Source organism: Homo sapiens, chromosome 3, assembly GCF_000001405.40.
Source record: "Homo sapiens chromosome 3, GRCh38.p14 Primary Assembly".
Classification (NCBI taxonomy): domain Eukaryota; kingdom Metazoa; phylum Chordata; class Mammalia; order Primates; family Hominidae; genus Homo; species Homo sapiens.
The window spans coordinates 193,538,863-193,565,205 of NC_000003.12; the positions used below are offsets into that span (position 1 = coordinate 193,538,863).

At 40.3% G+C, this 26,343-nt stretch overlaps 1 protein-coding gene and 1 long non-coding RNA gene across 6 annotated transcripts in view; one reads left to right on the forward strand and one right to left on the reverse strand.

Annotated features, from left to right (window-relative positions):
* The window catches only part of ATP13A4 (ATPase 13A4), a 194,153-nt gene that overhangs the window by 139,896 nt on the left and 27,914 nt on the right, over positions 1–26,343 (reverse strand). For 3 of the 4 annotated variants that reach the window (XR_007095757.1, XM_047449063.1, XM_017007319.2), the window contains exon 3: positions 15,878–16,031. Coding sequence is in view for 3 of the 4 variants with exons in the window: in XM_047449063.1 (XP_047305019.1) it covers positions 15,878–16,031 (154 nt within the window). In the remaining variant the exon portion in view is untranslated. Of the gene's footprint in view, positions 1–15,877; positions 16,034–26,343 lie in introns of those variants that run through there. The other variant, NM_032279.4, reaches the window with a different exon arrangement.
* ATP13A4-AS1 (ATP13A4 antisense RNA 1) lies at positions 14,351–16,722 on the forward strand. Of its 2 annotated transcripts, NR_046726.1 has the most exons (3): positions 14,550–14,642; positions 14,845–14,905; positions 15,410–16,722. It is a non-coding gene; the product is annotated as an ATP13A4 antisense RNA 1 (long non-coding RNA). The 2 variants fall into 2 exon arrangements; NR_121666.1 differs by lacking the exons at positions 14,550–14,642; positions 14,845–14,905 and adding an exon at positions 14,351–14,425 and having other exon boundaries at positions 15,908–16,722.

A 26,343-nucleotide genomic window follows, 5' to 3' on the forward strand; every position in this document is an offset into this window, starting at 1 on the left:
GGCTATTTTTCTTTCTTTCTTGGTTTTTTCTTTTTTTTTTTTTTTTTTTGAGATGGAGTTTTGGTCTTGTGCCCCAAGCTGGAGCACGGCCTCCTCCGCCTCCCAGGTTCAAGCGATTCTCCTGCCTCAGTCTCCCTAGTAGCTGGGATTACAGGCATGTGCCACCACGCCCAGCTAATTTTGTATTTTTAGTAGAGACAGGGTTTCTGCATGTTGGTCAGGCTAGTCTCGAACTCCCAACCTCAGGTGATCCACCCACCCTGGCCTCCCAAATTGCTGGGATTACAGCTGTGAGCCATCATGCCCGGCCATAGGTGGCTATTTTTCAAAGAAAGTTTACAAAAACAGTCAGTGGGCCATATGTCCCCAAGGGCCATAGTTTGCAGACCTCTGCTATCAAGAAACAACATGAAGGAAAGCAACCTGTTCATGGCAAGAGTAACACCATCTTGAAGCAAAACCATCACAATGGCCAATGTTTGACTCCTATCTACCAAGGCGTTCCTGCAGCAAGGTCAAGAAACTATGCCTGTGGCATGGACAACTTCTCATAAAGATGCTTATCTAACTTTCCCAGTGGCCATGAGTTTCACAAGAGGGTTTGAGACAGGATACATGCTCTACCCTAAAACCTGGCTGGAGAAAGAATACTTTCTGGAGGGCTCAAGAATCCACCACCTCACAGCTGCCTAAGACATCGCTTCTGTGCCTAAGTCCCTATTAAATGTTTCTTTCTGAGAAACCAGATTTGTCAGCTTCTTTCTTCAGCCTCTCAGCACCCTGAGCCTTTGGAGATGGGGTTGCACATACCTGCTCACCATGGAACACAACAGAAACAGTTAGTCTTTGCACCTGTAGTGATAGTGCCTACCTAATGGGGTTATTGTGAATCGAAAATAAAGTATCACATGAAAATGCTTAGCAATGGGTATAGGACGTAGTAGTTAGTCAATACATATTAACTATTATTATTATTAGGCATATTTGCATATTCTTTTGCTATTTTCAGTTGGCCACTTACTTTATACATGGACACTCTGTGGGAAATTATTTCGATGTTGTTAAAACTCAAAATTAATTTTTTTCCTGCACTGAGACCTTGTATAATAGTTCAGAAGGAAGATAATTGGATGTATCTCCCCATAAGGTTGAAAGCCTCCACAATCAAGCTTTTATTAAAGAACGAGTACTACCATTGTGACCACAGAAGATAGAATTCGACACCAAGGTAAGAGGAATTTTCACTTTTATTTATTCCTCATAGGGTAGGAACAGCAGGGAGAAGGTACATGGGAAATTTCTGAAATGAAATATGAAGCCCCGCAGTTTGCTGCAAGAGCCCTATTCACCCCGTAACATGTTCTGCTTGGTCATAATTGATCCTTTAAATGAACATACTGCCTTTCTTGGAAATTCCTTGAAGAAAGAGAGGCTTCATGACTTGTCTGTCACATAGTTCTTCCTCATACTTCTCCGTGATGGTGAATAGCAAATGTGGCAATTCTGTGCCTCCAAACCGCATCCCTCATGACAACGGAGCCACTAATGAAGAGATGAGCTCCACCTTAGATCTTTACTCCTGACAGGAGTATTAAAAGTCAAACTGGCCTCACAAATGTGTAGACCTCCAAAGGGTAGGATTTTAGGTCACTAAGGCTCTCTGCCAAAAAAAAAAAAAAAAAAAAAAAAAAACCCTTCTAGCTTATACAAAACACAAGACAAGATTTATACACAGAAATAATCACTGCAATATTACTAGTAATGCCAAATAGAAGGCAATCAATGTATATCAGTAGGGCAATTATTAAATACTATTATATAGCCATTAAAAGAATGTTTATTAAGTATTTTAATATGAGGGAAATATACGTAATTACATATGAAGAGAAACAACATAAAATCATGCAGTATGATGTTAAATTTAATTGAAAAAAAAGGTGGAACACAAACAAAATAAGACTGGAAAGTAAATACATCAAGCAAAATACTAATGGTATTTGCCGTGGGTGACGGCATCATTGTGATTCTTCTTTTACATTATAATTTTCTATATTTTATACATTTTATTCATTGAACATGTTTCACTTTTAAAATCAGAACAATAGGGCCGGGCGCGGTGGCTCACGCCTGTAATCCCAGCACTTTGGGAGGCCGAGGCGGGCAAATCGCGAGGTCAGGAGATCGAGAGCATCCTGGCTAACACGGTGAAACCCCGTCTCTACTAAAAATACAAAAAATTAGCCGGGCGTGGTGGCAGGCGCCTGTAGTCCCAGCTACTCGGGAGGCTGAGGCAGGAGAATGGCGTGAACCCGGGAGGCGGAGCTTGCAGTGAGCCGAGATCGAGCCACTGCACTCCAGCCTGGGCGACAGAGCGAGACTCCTTCTCAAAAAAAAAAAAAAAAAAAAAATCAGAACAATAAATAGTGTTTTTTGAAAAGCCTTTTTCTACCTGCTCACAGATTATTTTACAAAGATATTATCTGATCACAGATTATCTATCTGTGATTATCGATCACAGATTATCTATCTGTGATTATCGATCACAGATTATCTATCTGTGATTATCGATCACAGATTATTAACCTGCTTACAGATTATTTCACAGAGATATTATCTCTGACAAAAGAGAAAAAAATCACCTTCAGGGACCTGAAAACTTTAAATACTATTTTTTCAGTTAGTTCACTGATTATATACTGACCATCAGATTGGAAATTCTGTTTCTTTCTTTGTTTGTTTGTTTGTTTGGACTACCCCACCCCATTTTTCTCACTCCAAGTAACAGTATCCAATACCCCAATATTCTTCTGGCAAACTACACCCTTCACTATTTGCAGCTGATGTGCTTCATGCAGAGTTGACTCTGACCCCAACTCTAGGAGAGGGCATGTGACAACAAGCATAGTATTCCAATGGCCACACAAATAAATTTAAAAAGCAAAAATGATTCAGTCAGAGCCAGTGAGAAGAAAGAGTATTTGGCTAAGACTATTGAAAGAAAGGCAAGTTCTTTTTTCCACTTGAAGTGGTACCTGGGGATGTGTAATCCTAGAGTTATCAGAGGGCTCCTTGTGAAGTATAACAATAAAACCCAGCTTGGAAGTTGTGTCCATGGCAATCAGGCAAGAGAAAGAAATAAAGGGTATTCAAATAGGAAAAGAGGAAGTCATACTGTCTCTGCTTGCAGATGGCATGATCCTATATCTAGAAAACCCCATCATCTCAGCCCAAAAGCTTCTTAACCTAATAAACAACTTCAGCAAAGTCTCAGGATACAAAATCAATGTGCAAAAATCAAAAGCATTCCTATACACCAACACTAGACTAGCAGAAAGCCAAATCATGAACTCCCATTCACAATTGCTACAAAGAGAATAAAGTACTTAGGAATACAGCTAACAAGGGAAGTGAAGAATCTCTTCAAGGAGAATTAGAAAACTCTGCCCAAGGAAATGAGAGAGGACACAAACAAATGGAAAAACATTCCATGCTCATGAATAGGAAGAATCAATATCATGAAAATGGCCACACTGCCCAAAGTAATTTATAGATTCAATGCTATTCCCATTAAACTGCCATTGACATTCTTCATAGAATTAGAAAAAAACTACTTTAAAATTTATATGGTACCCAAAAAAAAAAGAGTCCCCATAGCCAAGACAATCCTAAGCAAAAAGAACAAAGCTGGAGGCATCAGGCTACCTGACTTCAAACTATACTACAAGTCTGCAGTAACCAAAACAGCATGGTACTGGTACAAAAACAGACACATACACCAATGAAACAGAATAGATATCTCAGAAAGTACACCACACATCTACGTCCACCTGATCTTTGACAAACCTGACAAAAACAAGCAATGGGGAAGGGATTCCCTATTTAATAAATGGTGCTGGGAAAACTGGCTAGCCATATGCAGAAAATTGAAACTGGACCCTGTCCTTACACCTTATACAAAAATTAACTCAATATGGATTAAAGTCTTAAATGTAAAACCCAAAACTATAAAAAACCTAGAAGAGGCCAGGCACGGTGGCTCACGCCTGTAATCCCAGCACTTTGGGAGGCCGAGGTGGGCAGATCACAAGGTCAGGAGATCGAGACCATCCTGGCTAACATGGTGAAACCCTGTCTCTACTAAAAAATACAACAAAAATTAGCCGGGTGTGGTGGTGGATGCCTGTAGTCCCAGCTACTGGGGAGGCTGAGGCAGGAGAATGGCGTGAACCCAGGAGGCGGAGCTTGTAGTGAGCTGAGATCGCACCACTGCACTCCAGCCTGGGCAACAGAGCAAGACTCCATCTCAAAAAAAAAAAAGCCTAGAAGAAAATCTAGGCAATACCATTAAAAACATAGGCACAGGCAAAGATTTCATGACAAAAACTTCAAAAGCAATTGCAACAAAAGCAAAAATTCATAAATGGGATCTAATTAAGCTAAAGAGCTTCTGCACAACAAAAGAAACCATCATCGGAGTGAACAGACAATTTACAGACTGAATGAAAATGTCTGCAGTCTATCTGACAGAGGTCTAATATCCAGAAACTATAAGGAACTTGAACTTTTATAAGAAACAAACAACCCCATTGGCAAATGGGCACATGGAAAAGAATGCAGAAACCACTAAGAATAAGTAAGCAACACTAAACTAGTCTTGCCAAACCAACCTCATATAGTCTTTTGATAGCCGATCTTAACCAACTGGTTAGGACAATCATTAACACACACTTTATCTGATTTTCAAAAGTCTCTCTTGAGGATTTTTGCTTCTGAATGTAGAATGCTACAAAGAACATCACACTCCCCCTAACAACCAGGAAAAAATAGAGATAATCCACGAAGTCATAAATTTTCTTGAACTCATCAGATAGCTAAGGTTTCAAGGAAATCAAGTAAACCAAATTCCAAAGAACAAGTTCTTCCAAAAAGAAACAGGTTAAAACAATGTTTTTACCTTTTGCATCTCATGAAAGTGATGTTGGCCATATGAGTGATAAGAAGAAATGAGCTAAAATTTTAACAAATTTATAAAGTCCAAGTTTGGACTACAGCATCAGTTTAGCTTGAATATCTAAAGGTCTGAGACTCAGAAAGAGGCTGGCATCCACTCAGAAACTCTTCTTCCCAAGCATCAGTTGGTGTTCATCAGACAGACTGGGGGCAGAGGAGGACATCAGAGAGAGCTCCCTTTGGCAGCATAGGTCTGAAGGAGGTGACTAATGGCTCCAGGAGACAGGCTCAACTTCCCTCTTACTTCTCTGGACTCTTCTCTCCTACTATTTAAGCTTCTGGAATGAGATAGTAACTGACAAAGGCCAATTACTTCTAAGTAAGAAACCATCTGCCAGGACACAAGCAAAAATCAATTGAAGCCGGATGAAGGATAAAGGCAAAAACTTTTACCATTCACTATTCTGAAACCAGGATTCTACATTAAAATCAAATGAAATTAATAGCTAGTGGAGAAGCAAGAAACTCTCACCTAAGAAAACTACAAGTATAAGACAGATTTGGCTGCCACAGAGAGGGAGAATATGAATATTGACAAAGCACTACTCCCTGAAGCTAAGATACAAAGGGATTACCTAAGACTAAGTCTGGACAAGTGCAACAGATAACCCTGTCTACCTCTACTACAAGCCTAGCACTGAGTCATAAGCCCAGGAGGATACCACTGGGAGAGAAACAGGAGCACAAAGAGAGACCACTTCTACAATACAGGAATGCATAGATGACGAAAAAGTGAAGGAGTATCCAGATGATTTGATTTCAACACCTGTGATCCTAATCACTTCTAAGCCCAAAAGATCAGAGATTTAAGACTTATACAAAAAGGGATCTGGAGGTTTTGTTTCTCACAAGTTCAAAATAAGCCCAAAGTATAAAATAACTGCTAAACTAATAAGTACTGTGTGGGGCTTATGTAGCAGTACTAGTACTGGTACTGGTAATAACAGGCTACATCAAAAGCATAAAGTACACTGAGATATGAGCAGAAGGTTTGAAGTCAATCTGCCTATGCTTAATTTCTGTTTTTTTTGCTTCTTAGATGCCAGATTTGGGTATATTATATAGTTTCTCAGTGCCTCCTTTTGTAAGATTGAGGTTAACAACCCACTTGAGTCAGGAGAGAAGAGAGAAACTCATAATATATGCACACATTTTTCAATTCATCTCATCAGAAATATATCAAATAAAGTCAATGTGACATGTTAAATATAAACATGAAATAAGATAGTCTCAGATCTCTCCATCTACCCAAACTTAATTCTTGGATAGTTTTGTTTTAGAACTGGCCTCAAAACATGAAGCATTTTTCACAATATTATCTTCTAAGTACTGATTCTGAAACTCAAGTACCAGAGTTTCAAAATCCTTCAGCCATAGTTCCCCCAAGAAGGCAACAGATTCTGGAAATGCTGAAGTGATTACAGTTTTAGCCAGGGCCCTGCATGTGTACCCACTGAAATCAGAGTGTCCTGGCCTGAGGACATTATATTTCTCTGGAAAGCATTCAGGACATTTGGGCCTCCTCTCTGTTCTTTTTCTGAGGGGCCATTTCAGGTACAGCTGTACTCATTGTCCACAAGAATAGCCTTAGGCTGAGGGAAAAGTTGAGGAGATGGTATTCTGAGCTGCCTTTCAACTCTACCCAGCCTGTGGTTTCAGGCAGCTTACCAAGGTTTATATGAAGGGCACTCAGAAGTAGCTATGAGCCAATTTGTCAAGTCAACCTACTCTGTCTAGTCTTCACAAAGCCTTGAAATGGGCACCCAAAATGAATCTCTTCTGGATCCATCGGCAAATGACTAACTCCCTCACCAAAGTGCCAACTCAAGTTCCTGTGCTCTGTCTTCCATGGGCCTGAGGACCCTATACGGTTCGGCACTGTTAATCATTTGCCAATAGATTTACTCCTTATTTCGTTATTTATGAGTAATTGACACAACAACTGCCATAAATTTCCAGTTCCCATTTGATTTAATGTTTCCAGATATGCTTTTTCTTTCCTTGACCAAAAAATTCACAGCACTTTGAAAAAAAAATGAGTATTACTTAAATTTCTTAAGATGTTTCACAGCGATTTTATCTGTTTTCAAAATGTTTAAATTGTGTGTGTGTGTGTGTGTGTGTGTGTGTGTGTGTGTGTGTGTGTGTGTGTTTTGGCAAGGACCCCAAGAAATCATCTGTATTGAGCCTCGGTTCAATCCAGTAAGGTATTATTATTGAAACTGGCCCAATTGTCTCATAGAAGTGATCTTTATAGTCTTTTAAAATAAAAATATTAAAATTGACTCAGGTCTTGAAGATTGAAACTTACATTTGGCCCTCCCTTAGGAAACCCACCCTCAGGACTCCTGAATAGTATCAAGGAACTGAAACTCACCAGATCATCACATTCAGACAGTGAGAAACCAGGTCCCTCATTCCTCATGATTTCCTTACCACTCCCTAATTCCTGTTTACCCAATGTAGTTACTTACATTCCTTTCCTGCTGCATAAACCCCAATTGTAGTCAGTCAGGATATGGATTTGAGACTGATCTCCCATCTTCTCAGCTGCAGCACCCAAATGAAAGTCATCTTCCCTGGCAATACTTGTTGTCTCAGTGATTGGCTTTCTATGCAGCCAGCAGCAGGACCTAGACTGAAACCCTGGTGTTTTGGTAACATTATCTCCACCTTGTAAATAGGCCAGTGTTAAAGAGAGGTGAAGTGCTGCATGGTTGTAAGAATAAATAATGTTAGAGCCAACACAACAATGTTGGTCTCCAGCCTCCTGATGTTGTGTTTCTTTCAATTACACCCTAATGTTTTTTCTACCATCAGCAACTAAAGTAGCACTTCCAAAATTTAACAAAAACAAGAGGCAACAAACCATTATTTAAGGCAAGGACTTAAGCCATGGCCTGCCATTTACTTTGCCAAACGAACCTGGTAATGTCACTTAACCTCCCTATGCCTAAATTTTCGTATTCATAAAAGAGAGATGACAGTTCCTTAGTGGGTTGCTGAGAGGATTAAATAAATTACTATGTGTAAAGTTCTTAGTCCCGAACTTGGCTCAGATCAATCACCATATAAGTATTTGCTCTTACTATTGCCATCCCTACTCTCAGCTTGCTCCTACTTTTCCTTTGGGGATTAAATGGCATTATCATCTTTCCTCACTGGACAAGCTAAGAACCTTAGAGACATCCTTAATAACTACTCATCCTGTTACCTCTTCTTTCTTACTTCCCAGTCTTTGGATTATGAAGTCTTCTTAATTCTATCATTTAAATATCTATTAAATCCATTTTTTACTCAGCGTCCTGTCTGACAAGACTATATAGTTTAGTCCTATTCCTCTCACCTGGACTATTTCAAATACTTCCTCACTGTTCTCTCTTCCAACCAACTTTGCTCACTCAATGATGTAACATCCTTTAAAATATCCTACCATATTACTCTCTGCTTCAAAACTTCCAGTGGCTTCCACATTGTGTCATCCAGGCTGGCATCACAATCATTCTGACCAAATCCAGCTCCACCATCAAAGATTCTAATTCAGTAGGTCTAGAATGGCACCTAGGAATCTATTTTGTGTGTATTCCCCCACCTGATTCTATAGATCAATATTTGAGAATCATTGGAAAGGATACTCATTAGAATGCCTTATAAAGTTCTTCAAAATCATACTCCACCCTCCAGGCAAATGAAATGTCATCTTTCCCCTTGAAGTTTTCTTTGACTAAATTGTTCCTTCTTCTGTGTTCCCACAGTTCTGTATGCATAGCTCTCAATATGATACCTATTATATCACACTTTCATTATATTTGTAGCCCTGGGTTCCTAACTTGCAGGGACAACTTCATGGGCACACAACCTGTGTGGTCACACAGGGCCCACACTCAGAAGGGCCCTACGCTCAGAAGGTCCCTACACTTGGCTTAATGCTCTGCTATCACCATCCTGAAATTCTTAATAATTGTTGAACAAGGGACACCTCGTTTTCACTTTGCACTGGGTCTTGCAAATTATGTACTCAGCACGGCCACTCGATTGTGAGCTGCTTGAAAACAGAAGCTATTTGCTATTCTTTCAAAATCCTCCTTGGTTAGCACAGAGGACTCCTGGCAAAAAGTAGAGGTTTCTTAAATACTTGTTGGGTTTATACATGAATGGATGAAAAGATAAAGTATCTCATAGAAAAATAGTATAGTATGGTTAATTAACTCTGAAGAATAAGCTTTTGTTATTCTTGGGGGAGAGGAGGACTAATTGATAAAATCCTGAGACTATTGACCATTGACCTCTCCAAATAAATAACATAACATTTTCTAGGTTTATTTTTAAATTACTCAAACCACTCCTACTTTTGAGCTCTGCTGCATCCCTGTTCTCAGAATGCAAAATTGCAGTTAATAGAGCTTGCAATTACGCTATCATGCCCGGAGTTTTTGTGCCAGGTACTGTGTTAAATTCTGGGTGTAATGGGAAGGGGAAGGGATAAGCCAAGAAAATGTTAATTGAGCAGGGTCCCTGTCTTCAAGAAGCAATTAAATTTCACTCCTCTAAAATTTATATCGAAGATGAGTTGACTTCATGGGAGTTCTGCAGCAATGAATTGAGAATAAAGACATTAGACTTGGCCAGTGGCCCAGCTTCCTGAACATTTCAAATGACAAAATGTCTCAGCCTGAACACAATTCCCCCACTATGAGATCTGTGGGTTCACTAGTTAACATTGGCAACTGACTCAGAGGTGCTCATGGAGCATAATAAACAAGTGGCTATTGAGGTGGGGGAGGTGCTTTTGCTCCCGGGTGTTAGAGAAGAAAAGACGAACATCAGCTATCAAAGTGAGCCAAGTAATTGGTGGAAAAAAATGTTCCTAGCTCCTGCTGAAGGCATGACAGGACTTCCAATGTGGTAACGACCACACACCACCCTGCTGCCACGTTATGTGCCCATTACTAGGTTCTCCGAAATGACATGGAAGTCCAAAAAGAGTTTACCGTGCTTTTCCACTGCTAGTTTTTAGTTACCCACTACTGGTTGGTATAATATCAGTTACAAAATTAAGAGATTCTAGTTGAAAACATATAAATGCCAATAAACATACAAAGATGTGTTCAACTTCAAATCAAGGAAATGTAAAAATAATACAACCACAGAATATCAATTTTGTATACTGAATGAGCCAAAGTTAAAAAGACTGATAATTTTCAATGTCAGCATGAATGGAGGAGAAAGCAAGTATTCTCAAAAAAGACTGCTAATCCGAGTATACATTGGTACAACTATAACTTCTGAAGGGTAATTTGGCATGATGTGTTAATCCAAATTTAAAATGCATGTCCCCTTTGAGGCAGTAATAATAATTCTAGGCCTTTACCTTAAGGAAATAATCTGAAAAATAAATAAATATCTAAGTACAAAGTTGTTCATCACAGCAAAAAAAAAAAATTAGAAATAATAGCTGTGCAACACAGGAAACCTGCTAATACAGCACAATTCATCCAAACACAACTTGAACATTGAAATGGTTATGTGACACTATAATTATCAAATATATATATATATATAGAGAGAGAGAGAGAGAGAGAGAGATCCATAAAGCATTTGTAAGTATAATGGAAAGTCTAATTTTTTTTAAAGTAGAGATAGAATCACTCCATTTTTGTTAAAAAATACATATTGGCCAGGTGTGGATGCTCACGCTTATAATTCCAGCACTCTGGGAGGCCAAGGCAGGTGGATCTCTTGGGTCCAGGAGTTTCAGACCAGCCTGGGCAACATGGTGAAACCCTCTCTCTACATAAAATACTGGAAAATTAGCCAGGCATGGTGGCATGCGCCCGTGGTCCCAGCTACTCAGGAGGCTGATGTGGGAGGATCACCTGTGCCTGGGAGGTTGAGGGTGCGGTGAGCTATGATCACACCATTGCACTCCAACCCAGACAGAGACCCTTTCTCCAAAAAAAACTAACATGAAAAAGATACATATTTCTAAGTATATGTATATTTTTTAAGAATAGAATTTTTAAATCAATGGAATAATCTTGTTTTGCCATGATGCAAACAAACGGATGATATCCAAAAACAATATTCATGTTGTTTTTCAACATGTAGCGGGGAAAAGGGAAATTATGAGGCAACAATATGTTCAGTGATGTGCTGGTAAGTATTTAACAAATGGCCTTCAGGCGGGGCAGGGTGGAAGTCCCGTTGTAGTATCCACAGATTTCTGTGGCATAAATAGCACCAACATTATTTATTTCAAGCTACCAATGTGATGTCACTGAATTAGGAGTTCGGAAGAAATACAATTGCACCATGCTGTGTAATACCACTACCTAGTATTTCCATGATACAGATAAATTAGGTGCAAATAATCTCAAAAGCACAGATAAGTATGAAGATAGAGCAAAATAGTTAGAAAGTGGTGAATTTTAGGTTTTTTTTTTTTTTTTTTTGAGACGGAGTCTCACTCTATCCCCCAGGCTGGAGTGCACTGATATGATCTCAGCTCACTGCAGCCTCAACCTCCTGGACCAAAGCGAGCTTCCCACCTGAGCCTCTCAAGTAGCTGGGACTACAGGTGGATACCACCACATCCAGATAATTTTTTTGTATTTTTATAGACAGGGTTTCACTATGTTGCCCAGGCTGGTCTGGAACTCCTGGGCTCAAGCAATCTGCACGCCTCAGCCTCCCAAAGTGCCGGGATTACAGGCTTGAGCCATGGCGCGCAGCCTGCATTTTTTATTGACATGTCTGGTGGTAAACTCATGAAGCATATTTACTTCATTCTTTAGATCCTTATTTGCCATTTCAATATTTTTACAATAAACATATGTTACCTTTATAATCAGAAAAGAATTCAAAGGTTTTTTTATTTTTTGTCTTATTTGTTAAGGCCTAGAGAAAAATATCAGGGAACGTTACTTTTTAAAAGTCTCACTGGAACAAAACACTTCCCCAAAAGATTGATTGTGTTAAGGTGTAACTAAAGAGCAATGTTAGAATCAATTAAGCCATGATACCTTCGTTCAGCCATGGTATAAGGAAATGGTTCTAAATTCCTTCAAAATAGAAATACAAAACGTCAGGACTCAAAGAGATTTGTGCTCCCAGACATTCTCATACTCTCACTTTACAAATAAGGAAGCTAAAAAAGGTAGGTGTTTTCCCAACGTATGCACAAGGTAAGTAGAAGATAACCCAGCTCCTCTCCATTTATAAGTGGTCTCTACGGCCTATGAATAAAAGTACATATTCCTGGCCAGGTGCGGTGGCTCATGCCCATAATCCCAGCACTTTGGGAGGCTGAGGCAGGTGGATCACAAGGTCAAGAGATTAAGACCATCCTGGCCAACACGGTGAAACACCATCTCTTCTAAAAATACAAAAAATTAGCCAGGCATGGTGGCATGCAGCTGTAGTCCCAGGTACTCGGGAGGCTGAAGCAGGAGAAACACTTGAACCCAGGAGGCAGAGGTTGCAGTGAGCCGAGATCACGCCACTGCACTCCAGCCTGGCAACAGAGCAAGACTCCGTGTAACAAAAAGAAAAAAAAAAAGTACATATTCCTTTTGGTATAACTGAATGGCAAGAGATGACCTCATTTTTGTGGGATAGTATTTACTCAATTGGTTAATTGCTAAGCCCTTGGCTTTTCCTACCTTTATTTAGATGATAGCAGCTCACACCTCGCCAGAACTGTTTACTTCTCAAAACATGTTTATATGGATTATCTCCACTGATCTTCATGAGAACTCTGTGAGTCTGGTGGGGGTAAGAAGGACCAGTCCTATTTTACAGGTATAAAAACTGAGGCTAGAGCAGGCAAGCGGCTGGCCCAAGGCCGGTGAGAGCCAGGCCTCCCGTCCCGTCCCAGTGCTCTCCCAGAGTTTCCTCCTCGAAGCCTTTCTGAGGCAGTCATTTAGGTGAACCTTCGCTGAAGGCCACTTTCTCACCTTTCCTTCCTTCTCCCTCCAAAAGCTTCTTTCTACCTTTGGGTCCTGTCTCATTTCGCAGTTAAAGATATTATTTTCAGGTCACCTAGGGTTGCTCTTTAGTTCCTGTTTGCTTTTGGTTTGTTACTTGTTTATTTATTTATTTTTATCTATTTACTTATTTTTGAGACAGAGTCTTGCTCTGTTGCCAGGCTGGAGTGCCATGGCGCGATCTTGGCTCACTGCAACCTCTGCCTCCCAGGTTCACGCCATACTCCTGCCTCAGCCTCCCAAGTAGCTGGGACTACAGGTGCACGCCACCCTGCCTAGCTAATTTTTGTGTTTTTAGTAGAGATGGGGTTTCACCATGTTGGCCAGGATGGTCTCAATCTCTTGACTTGGTGATCCGCCCGCCTCGGCCTCCCAAAGTGCTGGGATTACAGGCACGAGCCACCATGCCCAGCCTGTTTTTGGTTTTTTAACTCCAAAATGGAAGATAATCCCAGGCATCTTTAGGCCTCAGAATATTCTTCTTTATTTGACATGAGGTCTAAACCCTAGCATGTTGTTTTCTCTTGAAATTTGAAGTAATTTCTACCACAAGAGAAATTACGTTTGCAAAGGTTCAAGTAAAGTATATTATAAAGCATGAAACTAAACACTTTGGTGTGACACATTTCTGGACTTGGAAGTCAGAGAAGACAGACTTATTTAAGCTACTCGAATTATCTAGAAGAAAAAAGAAACTCAAATTATCTATAACAGAACAGATGCTGGGGAATCTAAGAAGACTGGATGTTGATGTTCTCCTTAGCTTTGTTTTATGAAGGAAGGGAATGTGTTCTGTTAAGAGTGGAATGTTCTCCGGAAGAACTGGAAAAGGTATCAGTGGGCTATGTTCAGGTCCAGAGACAAAAGAGCTGTCAACTTAAACTAACCTGTGCGGTGCCTCAGCTCCTGGACTTACTGGTTGATGCAACCTTAGGGAAAGCCTGTGTGCATCAATTTCCTCATCTTTAAAGTTAGAATCACAGCATCTACCTCATAGGGTTGTGAGGAAAACTAAATTAGCTAGTGGCCAAGAAAATGCTGTGTATACTAAAAATCACTACAAAATATGTAGACTATATATATAGCTTGATAATTTTTAAAGTTTACTGCTCTGGGCAAGGGATGGAGGAGTGAGTTAAAAAGGAACACAGTGTCAGACACAGCAACAGGCAGGTGGCCAGGTTTCTGTAGGCAGAAGAGGATGGAGAGCTCAGGAGTGCATACTAATTGCTGCACCTCTGCTGAGACTACTGGCCAAATGGCTGCCTACCAGAAAACACAGTGTCCCTTTCCATATTAAAGGGCCTCTCCTAACTGGGCTTTCAGCTGCATACAAAACTACGTGGAGTTCTCCATGCATCTGATGGTGCCATTATGAAGATGAACTGTTAACTAAATTGCTTTGGTGGAATATGTATGCTAGGGAAGAGGTAACAGTTTCCCTACAACCATGAATGTCTTCTGGAAAATAAATGATTCTTATTGAGACTTGAAAGACAAATTGTCTGAGAGCAGAAAGGGGTTTACTGGAAAAGAGTGAGTGTATTTCTAAATGAGAGAGAAAAAAAATGTTTCAGAGGAAGGAGCCCCTGCCTTCTGGTGAAGAGTATTCAAGATGAAGATAAACTTTTCAACTTAATATCGAGAGTAATGAGATATTCACTTCCTAAAGAAAACTCTTTAAAGAAACAAAGATGATATCCAATGTGGGCTAGCAAGCCATTTCTGGTGACATTTGTGGAGGGGCTGAAGGCAATTCATTTGGCAGTCAAATCTGAATGAAGTAAAGGATATGGTTAAGAAAGGCACCTGAATTAATGTACATTTTACTTCTTTATAATTTTTTCAGCTTTGATAGCAGAAGGGATCTACTCTTGAAAGTCCAAAAAATGTTGTTGCTATAGGAACAGGTAAGCAGATTAGACTTGAAAGACCAGTTTAGGAACAAAGAATGTAATAGTCAGGGCTAAAGCAATTAACCAAGAAAACATTTTAAGTAAATATCTTTCAGGTTTGTTATTTACATATTAATTCCAGGAAGATTAAATGCTATTATGGAATGAGAGCGTCACATTTTAACATTTTAATTACATCATTACTGGCATAAAAGACTATGCTTACACAATTAGCAGAAAGATCTTATTAAACAGAAGTACATATTTCTAACTCTCTCTTGATTATATTGTAATTGAGAAATACAGTTTTAAATTCATCCTGAGCATGAAAGTCATCTTTGATTTTCCTATAGTTCTCAAGATAGAAGCACATCTAAAATCAAAGAGATACTGAACTACCGAAAGTTTTCTGTAACCAATCTCTATAATGAGGAAGCCACAAAAGTAAAATTCTAGAAGAAAACAGAAATGTGTGTAGGCTGATAATTGTTAATATTGCATGTCTTCCCTGTCCAACAGACTCGGTGAACAAGACATTTGAGAAGAGAAGGTCAAAGACCCAGCTGCACTTCTGCTTCACTGCTGAACTTCTGCTTCTTCCTATCAGGGAATACACTGCTCCTCACATTAGGGATTTCCTAAAATTGTTAGGTGTTTTGAACAGAACTGGCTATACCAATGAGGCTCAAACAAGAATCATAAAGTGCATGGTGCTTCTCTCCCTCTCTGTTTTCTTTAAAAAGAAAACATTCTTGACAAGATGAATACAATATTTTCATTCTAGCAAATTTCTGCTGTCAGAGGTTATATTTACAGGATAGAGAGATTTCTCAAACATGACCTTTTCTCGTGTAATACCAGAGTGAAATTTTAGAAAAGTCTGTGTGTGTGTGATGCGTGCGTGTGTGTGTGTGTGTGTGTGTGTGTGTGTGTGTCTCGCAGGCTGAGAAGTGGGATGGGAAGAAGGGAATGTGGCTAGAATCTTACCATCTCATTCTCTTCTCCTTCATTGAGCAGAGCGTGCTGGCCCTTCTCAAAGTGTCCCATGAAAAAGTTATTCCACACCTCCTCCCTGACCTTGTCGTGCAGACGCTTCCAGGATGAACTCCAACTCGCCGAGCCACCGCAGCTCCTCAGCTGACTAAAAGAGTTAATGATCCTCCAGGTTAAAACTCCTCCTTGAGCACACACCTTCTCTCAACAAATGACAATACTTGGCAAACTGAACTCCTCCCACGAGTCGCCCTCTGCTAGGAGGAATTGCTGGCTGCTCCCTGCTTATTGCATTCTCTCAGAGCAGCTGTCTCAAAGGAGGCTGCTCCCATGCCGATCTTTTTGTGCCCAACTTACAGGGAAAGAACTCATTGCCTGCCCAGTGCCTGCCAGCCTCAGACTTCTGACTGCAAATCCAACAGGACAATACAGAGTTGGCAGGACCCTTCTCAGGAGTGAGGAGCGGGTGCAAGAACTCCCAGGTCACTGCTTTATTCAGAGGACCTAAGGAATTGGGTTGAGCGGAAGCGCACAGAGCTGCAGATTTTCTTTGATGAATGAAAGCTTCAATCCACAGGTTTCTAATAGTACTCTCATTCATTTTGCTTACAAAAGGTACAGATTATCACTAATCCTCTTCAAAAGGTATTTGTAATCACATTTCCTTGTATATGCAAAAAAAATTCTATTTAAAGTGTATGTGAAATTAAGTTTACTTTTTTGAAACACATGTAGAAAAAGAACAAAGGTATCATCAAACTAGTCTATGTAGTCTCCTTTCACTAAAATATTGATGGTTCAACACTTAAGGAAGTCTAGAAATAAAATATTCAAATGACTATATGGCCAGACTCTTTTTTAATTTGTTTACACATTTATTCAATAAACAGTGCCTGAGCACAGGGACTACCTAAAAAAGTTAAGTCATATTTGCTACCCTCGTGTTGATGTAAGGATTCAAACATCCAAACAAATATGATAGAAAGTGGATTGTTATTATAAGAGATGGAACAGAAGTCTAAGAAAACTGTCAGAAGTCCCAATGTGGTGTAGAGAAACACACCCCTACCCTAGCTCTGGCAAAATACCTGTATTCCAGCTGCTTGTCTGCACTGGCCTTGCTGTGTGATCATTTAACTATAGGAACCGGCTCTTCTCATCTGGTACCGCCCGACAGGACTTTTGAGAGAATGGAATGAGATCATTGTGAAAGTACATTGTACAGCACTGATCAAGTGCTGTTAGGATTATTAAACTAAATGTGCATTTGAACAGTAGGTGTTAGGACATAGTGGCTAAGGGCATATACACTAAATTTGGAAGGCCTGAGTTCAAATTTGGACTGTACTAGGTGGTCGTTGTGCTACCTTGGGATATAACAAGTTATACAAACTCCATTCTCCTCTATTTCCTCACATGTAACATAAAGATGATGATAATAGAACCTACGTCCTAAAACAGACTTTTAAGAAAGAGTGCCTGGGAAATAATAGGTGTTCCACAAAAGATAGTTATTTTTACCTTCACCATGTCCACTGTCTGTCCCTCAAGCTACATTGGCAATGATATCTCCAACCTGACCCAAATAACCCTAATGTGACCAAGATCAATGTGTGCATGTGTGTGTGTGTATATGTTGTATGTGTAAAACCTTGAGCAAATAGTGAAGTATAGGATAAACATAAAAAGTAAGCTAAGTAAACCCATTGTAATAGTAATTACAAAATATATATGTACGTGTGTGTGTATGTGTGTGTGTGTGTGTATATATATATGTAGTTCTCTTGGTTTCAAAAATTTGCTAGCACAATTTAACCAAATAAATGAAAATAAAATTAACATTTTATCACAAGGTCAAAATATAAGGAGTAAAGGGTTTATGGGGGGGGTAATAAAAATGTTCTAGAACTACTGATGGCTTCAAAAATTTGTGAACATACTAAACCTCACTGAACTCTATACTTTAAAAGGGTGAATTTTATGAAATGTGAATTATATCTCAATGAAGAGATATAACAAATTTAAAAATCATACCTCAATAAAAAATTATACCTCAAAAAAACCTAACTGAACATTTAACAGCCTTACTAGGCAGTAATTATATATTTAGTACAGAAAAAAATATAAAACAAGCATATTCCAAATTTCATCTCAACTGATGGAGGTTGAGGAGTGTTAGTATGTGACGTGGTGAAACTATATCAGTGCTCCTGGGCAGGTGAGAAAGAAGTAATTCATTCTCCTGTTTATCACTGGCAATATTTGCAGTTTCCTTTTGGCTGGGTTCCTGAATGCACTTGGCAACTCTTGCACCGTTGTGGGATTGAGATGAGTGTGTAACTGATTAACAGCTAGAGGAGAAACTGTACACAAACTTACCCCATCAAATAAATCAGGTCATGCTGCTACAATATTTAAGCTAAACTTGAACAGGAAAATATGTAAGTCCTTAAGAACATTAAAAGCTTTTATAAAAATCAGATGTCCATGGAAAATTATTTTCCACAAACCTGGTTCAATAGAGCTGAGGACTCCAGTAGTGAGAGAGTTTCCTCAGGTTCCTTGGGAGTTCTATTGGTAAAACATCTAGATTTTATCGATGGCAACACTGCTTATGGACAGCACTCACCCTCATTTAGTGATTTTGGTCTACAAACATAACCATAACCAGAAACAGGGCTAGGTTGTGTGGGAAAGCAAAGAGAACATTTACAGAACACTTCCACATATGAGGCACAATTCTAAACAGTTTACACTCACTGTTGCACACAATCCTGACAAAAGCCTCTGTGGTTGATACTATTCTGGTCATTCTTATTTGACAGACAAGGAAACACAGGTGCAGACATTAAGTAATTTGCCTACATTCAAACCATTAGTAAGTGACAGAATGAGTATTCGGACCTAGGCAATGCAGCTCTCCCAATCCGTGATCCTAGTTACTGGACTAATACCTCTTCTACACATTTATTTGGCACATCCAAAGTGCTCTGCAAAGAGGTTTGCATTTATATGACCAGAAAAGCCTCTTTGTGAAGGAAGCATTTTGAGAAAGGCCTTGGAAAGAGCCAAAAATGCTTCAACAGGTGGAGATGCTGAGGCTCGGACAAAGAGTAAGGCCGCAGGAAAGAGCATTTGAAGCAAGGGAATCATCAGAGGAAGAAACACATGGTCATGTTCAGAGCAAGCCCATCAGCCTCACTGCAGCATGGGCTGCATGAAGGAAGAAGAGGGGAGTGACATGTGGCAGGGAAATATGGACCAACGCCATGCATGGAGGTCCTGAATGCCAGGTCTGAGTCTGAGCTTAGTGCACAGAGTGACAATAACATGGAAGGCAAACTGAACTCCATAAATATCCCTACTGTTCCTGATCAGCCTGTGCTCTCATATTATAGGAATCAGGTCCAAAGCGACTCAGTCCTTCTATGCAATACTGTATTTATGTAGACAGTTTTCTTGAACCTTCTAAGTTAAGTCTTCTATTTCTCTTAGGAACATTGTTTGAAAAGTTATTCTTGAATTCACCCTCCCTTTCCTTAATTGTGCCTGTTCAATATTTCTATTCTATACTCTACGTGCCTCACGGGTTGTGATGTGGCGTAGTAAGAATGGCAGATGAGGATTTGGTGTGGTCTGAATTCTAATCTTGACATTTTCCTGAAGGATTCCATTCACTCATTCACTTAGCACTAGTTTGATTAACTTCAGTATGCCCAGATCTGTAATAGATGAAGAATAGAGATTTAATAAATTATGCCCCAGAAAAGTTAAGTCCATTAAGAAACAAGACCAACACCAAAATATAAATTCCACATAATATGCTAATTACACAAGAGTGACAGAGGAACTTCAAGTAGGGAGTTAGGCCAGGAAACCCTCACAAGGATAGGAGTTTTATGCTTGTCTAGATAAATACAGGTGGGAAAGGAAAGCATTATTAACAAAGGAGACAGAGAGCAAAAGCACAGATGAGGGCTCGCACACAGCCCATTCTGGGGGCTACAAATTATACACATATATTGATATCTCAGAATTGAGAGGAATGTCCAAAAGGAAAAGTACCTTCGTTCATTCTCTGATTCTCTCCCTGAACTCATTTTTTCTCAAATACTCTCTCCCAAATAAGAATGGGAACGGAAAATAAAAAGGACAAATACTTAGCTACCTCTGCTGATCTGGCATCTCGGTTTGCTTTTGATTATCTTAGGAGCATGCCTGTTGTTCTGAGCAGTTCTCAACCTCTGTGATTGTCTAGAATAGATGTCCAATGGAAATAATGGCAGGACCGGTTTCTCTGCCAGGGCCGTGGGGATGCTGATGCTTCACTTGTCTGGCCCATTTAGGTTTTGTGATGATAAATGGTAATAATGTTTCATTATATGTTAATTTCCATCTTTCATCTGAGAACTCACAGCATATTACAAATATTGTTTTTTGCAACATCTCTGTGAAGTAGGGAGGTGAGTAGTATCATTGCTCCCATTTGAAAGCTGTAGGAACTGAGTCATAAAGAGGTCACAAAGAGCTGTTCAAGGTCATGTGTCTTTACCATGGAGAGGAACCTGAAACAAGTGCAATATCTCTGCCTTGTCATCACTGGCAATAAGCTGACTCAGTCTTCCTCCTCAGCCCTCATTACACAAATCTGCTATTTGTAAAGTACTTGAGACCTTTAGTTATAGAACTTTATCTAAACTCAAGGCTTTACCTTTAGTATTAATTATCCTAATCTGCTCTAAAATAGTCTGTGGTAGCAAGCAAAGATGCCATATCCCAAAGAGGAATTACCTGCCTCAAGGTGGTGGTGCAAAGTCTAATTGAATTAATTAATGTTTGTAAAACATTTAGCAACCCTTAGATTAAAGGGTCTAATACAAAGATCCAGGGACTCCCCATTAATTACAGAAGAAAAGAGCAGGCTGATGCTGTCTCTGCTTCTCAGAGGACTTGCTCTCAAATATCCCCGTTCAGCACCAGGTCTGTTCTCCCAGTGCCTTGGGGTGGCCTGTTGTTTCCCTTTCAGAAGAGTCCTCTTTGCTTTCTGTTATTTCCAAAAATAGGAAATTAAAAGCTGCTCTCTGGAGGTAAGGCAGCTCCCCTTCTGTGAAGCTTACCTCAGTTGACAGCTGTTATAACAATTCCAGGTCATTAAGGACAACCTATAAAAACAAAATCCAAAAGAGATGGTCCCCAGGCAGAAGCTTCATGTCAGTGTACTTAATTTTGAGAACTTTTAACCTAAAAATTTGAATATACAAAACAATACAAGTTATGGTGCTATTATTAACAATCAGAGACTATTAGACTGGGCCTTAGAAATTACTAAGTTACTTTCATTGTTTCTTCGGTGAGAAAAAAGTTACTGGATGACTGTGTAACGATTTGTCCAAGATCACAATCTGCGAAAGCTAAAACTCTCAAGTCTTATATATGATATACTTCACACAACATCATATTGCTACTCACTTTTTTTTTTTTGAGACAGGGTCTCGCTCTGTCACCCAGACTGGAGTGCAGAGGTGCAATCATGGTTCACTGCACCCTCAATCTCATAGGCCCAAGGGATCCTGCCACCTCAGCCTCTCAAGCAGTTGGGACTACAGGCAAGAGCCACCATGCCCAACTAATTTTTGTTCTTGTTTTTTGTAAAGACAAAAAACATGTTGCCCAGGCTGGTCTTGAACCCTGAGCAAAAGCCATCCACCCACCTCTGTCTCCCAAAGTGCTGGGATGACAGGTGTCAGCCACCATGCCCGGCTGCTACTCACTTTTTGTAAAGGGATTAGAATAGGATACTTTGAAACAGTATCTCTAGAATATTTACGAGGACTTCATTTGCCAAGCATAGATTTCAATAGAACTTTTCCAGAACCCACCAATTGTGTAAAGCCATGGCCATATCACTGAATTGTACAGCACATCCCATTACTTAGGCATGATCCAGAGGGCTTAGGACATAGCATTGGGCCCACCCACTGGGGTGAAAATCTGTGCTTGGGGAGCTGATGACACTGCAGGTGCTTGCAAAGGAAATTTAATCTACCAGGCAATTGAAGCTCACAGCAATTTCTGCTTACAGCTCAGGGGAGCAGTTGGCCAAGGGGGAAAGAGAGAAAGGCCATAAGACAGAAGCAGAAATGTTCCCAACAAGCAGTTAGAGTCCAGCCATGGGGCAGGTGATACTTGGAAATCCAGACAGGAAGCTGGCTCCATGGAGTCTGTCCTCTAGTGGCTAAGCTCCAATCAGAAACCTCGGGCCTGAGGCAGCGTTCCAATTCCGAGTGGGAGCCTGGCATGGGAAAGGCTTCTTCACTCCTAGGAAAAATCTGGGGCTCAAGACAGGCTGCCAGGCAGGAACTTAGGAACAGTAGTACCCACAGGGGACCTCAGGCTTGGGAATGAGGCAAGAGCCCAATTAACAGAATCAGGGCACTGCCTCTGGGCAGACTAACCAAGAGTGTGGCTGGGTGCTGAGCTGCAGAGAGCAACGCTGGGCTGGATTCAGTGCCCTTGCTGTGGGCCTGGGATGACCCAGGAACTGGGCTGAGGCCCCTGGGGAAAATCAAGAACAGGTTCCTGGTGCAGATGAAGAAAGCGGCAAGGCTGGGGCTCCACTGGGCCTCTCTGCTTGCCATTCTTCCAAAAGTCCACTTAGGATTATTTATGCTGGTTACCTCTTTCATCAGCAAGTAAGATGCTCCACAAAAGGGAGGAGACTCTCAAGTGGATCAATCAATGATATTTTGAGAGAGGGGTGAAACTGAAATTAATGACAAAAGAAATTCAGAGCTCTTATTTGTGTACTGTACATGTCGTTCAGTGTCCTAAGCAAACTGGTAATGGGAAATGTTATTTACTAATGGAAAAAGGAAAGTAATAAGATAGAACTAATGCACCTCCTAGTACTCAGACCCTCTCCCAGTTAGTGTGGCATCAGAGGGGATCTCTGAGGTTTCTCAGCTCTCCCACAGTCCATCAACCCTGCCAAAGCACTTCAAATAAGCAATCTTAATAAAACTGTGCTTACCATGCAAATGTAACTTTAAAATAAGCCCCCCAGCTTCCAATCTAATCTCTGTCCCAATGGAGGTCTTTGGGGGCTGTCACTGTCTTTTCACATGCCTCTTTTTTACACACCCCTATGAAACACGCAACCGGACTACCTATGTCTACCATGGGATCATCACTGTACTTCTCCCTCCGCGGGAAATGGAGTCCAATCCTCTCCTCCTTTCATCCAGCCTTTCTCTGGCACCAGGGAGCTTTGCTGTTGGCTAGCTGCAAGCTTTGTTGGTTGCTCTGTTTGTTCATATCTCATTGACCCCAGAGTACATGGCAGAGAATAGCAGTAGTTCCTCACCAGTGGTGTGTGTCAGTCACCCTGGAAGCTCTCCTGGACCCCACATACTCTGGTCCCGGAGAGCTACCAAACCCAGACCTAGCAAACCTGAATCCCTGGGGTGGAAACAAACAAACAAAAAAAAACTACATTTTGATGAGTGTGGGTTATGTTGTACTTATACTACTTTAAAAATAAAAAGGAAAATAAAAGAATAAAGTAGATCTATTGTCATAGCAAGATGTCCACGATACATTAACTGCAAGTTGTTATAGAATGCTATTATTATATGATTAAATGCACTATATTATTAAATGCATTCATCAGGCATTTTTGTAAAAATGGGAAATATCTGTGTGTGCGATGTAATATATAGGTGGATATTTAAACAAAAGAGTCCATAGACTAGGGATTTTAGCCACTGTTCCCTGTTCTCCTTGCCATTTGCCTCCCAGGCCCTAGATACAGTGAAACCAATTTCAAATATAGAATCATACTGGTCAGCTGGGTGCAGTGGCTCAAGCCTGTAATCCCAGCACTTTGGGAGGTCGAGGTGTGCAGATGATGAGGTCAGGAGTTCAAGACTATCCTGGCTAACACGATGAAACCCCATCTCTACTAAAAATACAAAAAATTAGCCGGGTGTGGTGGCAGACACCTGTACTCCCAGCTACTCGGGAGGCTGAGGCAGGAGGATCACTTGAACCCAGAAGGCAGAGGTTGCAGTGAGCTGAGATGGTGCCACTGAACTCCAGCCTGGTGACAGAGTGAGACTCCATCTCAAATAAAAATAACAATAAAAATTAAAAAATCATAGTGGTTGTATTATGGCTCTATCATGTGACAGCCATGAAAAATTTGGCAAGTTGCTAAATTATCCTAAGCTTCAATGTTTTCATCTTTGAAATGAGATATAATCCCGTTACTCCATGATACGGTATTGTTGGAAGAACAAATAAGATTGTATACATGCCCAGTCTCGTGTCAGACAAATTATAAGACATTTTTTAGGGAAAAAATAGTGTTAGAAGTTGAACGGTACTTGAGAATTTTTTTCTTCCCAAAAAAATATGAAATGGGGAAAAACACAATTGAACAGCTTTATATTAATCTTTCTTGTTTAAGAACAGGAAAGATTATACCTGGTTTACTGAAGGATTGCTTGAAGAGTGTCAGCCCATCAGGACAAGGGAATGCAGAGAAGGCCTGGCTAACCCACAGATCTCACCAGCCTAATCTACCTGCCAAAATGAGAGAAAATGAAAGCCAGAAACTCAGGGACCCAAATCTCCACTCCTAGGCCTAGTATCCTTTTACTAACTACTCATTCCAATGTTAAGAAGTCCACAGAAACCAAAGTACCCACAAATATCAATCACTGCTTAACAGTAAATGATCAACACATACTGATTTCATCCACTTTAGCCAGGTGAGGTGGCACATGCCTGTAATCCTGGCTACTCAGAAGGCTGAGCTGGGAGGATTACTTGAGCTTGCAAGGTCAAGGCTGCAGTCAGCTGTGATTGTGTAATTGCGCCACTGCACTCCAGCCTGGGCAATAGACTGAGAGTGTCTCAAAAAAAAAGTTTGCTTTGTAAACCACCGAATATATACCTAAAATGTTGTTTTCTTATTTTATTTCTTTAAGATTATTTATAGACTATTTCTTGTTAGGAAAAATATTTTATTTCTTAATTATTTATCATCTGAACAATGTATGACGTGCTAATATCAAAGAGCACTGGAAGGAGAGAGATTTACAACCAACCTCTGGCAACCTCACTGTCTAACTTGGGGCAACCCCTGCTGTTCAAAAGAGAGAAAATGAGAGCCAGAAAAGTTACCTTCTAACACTTCTAAATTAGTATTAGAAGTTGAACAGTACTTGAGAAATGTTTTCTTCCCTAAAAAAATATAAAATGGAGAAAAACACAATTAAACAGCATTATATTCATCTTTCTTATTTTTAGAATAAGAAAGATTATGCCTGGTTTACTGAAGGATTGCTCGAAGAGTATCAGCCTATCAGAACAAGAGCATTCAGAAAAGGCCTGGCTAACCCAGAGGCCTTGCCACCCTGGTCTACCTGCCTAGCTGGGCCTTGCTAGAAGCACTTGTGGCTGCCATCTACAGGCCTGCTTCCAGCCTATATGCCTTGTGGCAAAAGCTGCATGGCATTTGGCAGACTGGAAAACCATGCAAATATTCATGATCTGGGCAAAATCCCTAAATGAGGGTAAGCAAGCTGTTAAGAGAAATTCAACTGTGTCCTATGAAATGCATTTGCAGGAACTTATGAAGATGTTTATCTCAAGGAACAGGAGATTTAGGAAGTACAGGTTGGTCATCATCAAGTATCTGACTGTTTATCATGTAAGGTGGGATTGACACTAATCTGGTGATTCCAGGGTAAGAACTAGGATTAACAGGTGGAAACTGGTGCCTAGTAGTTAAGAGTAAAGGCTGCAGTCATCTTGACTGTGGTGATGGTTTCACAGATACACCATGACATATTTTATACTTTGGATATGTGCAGTTGATTTTATTTCAACTTCAATAAAGTAGAAAAGAGTATGAGCTATAATGTCAGATAGTTTGGGCTCTAATTATTGCTTAGCCACTTACTATCAGTGTGATCTAGAACAGGGATCCCCGACCCCTAGGCCTTGGACAGGTATTGCAGGAGGTGAGCAGCAGGTGAGCCAGCAAAGTTTCATCTGTATTTACAGCCACTCCCCATCACTCACATTACCCCCTGAGCTCCACCACCTGTCAGAGCAGCGGCAACATTAGATTCTCATAGGAGCACAAACCCTACTGTGAACTGCACATGAGAAGGATCTAGGTTGCATGTTCCTTATGAGACTCCAATGCCTGATGAACTGTCACTGTTTCCCGTCACTCCCAGATGGCACTGTCTAGTTGCAGGTAAACAAGCTCAGGGCTCCCACTGATTCTACATTATGTTGAGTTGTAGAATTATTTCATTATATATTACAATGTAATAATAATAGAAATACCGTGCACAATAAATGTTAATGAGTTTGAATCATCCTGAAACCACCGCCCCCGACTCCAACAGTCCATGGAAAATTTGTCTTCCATGAAACTGGTTCCT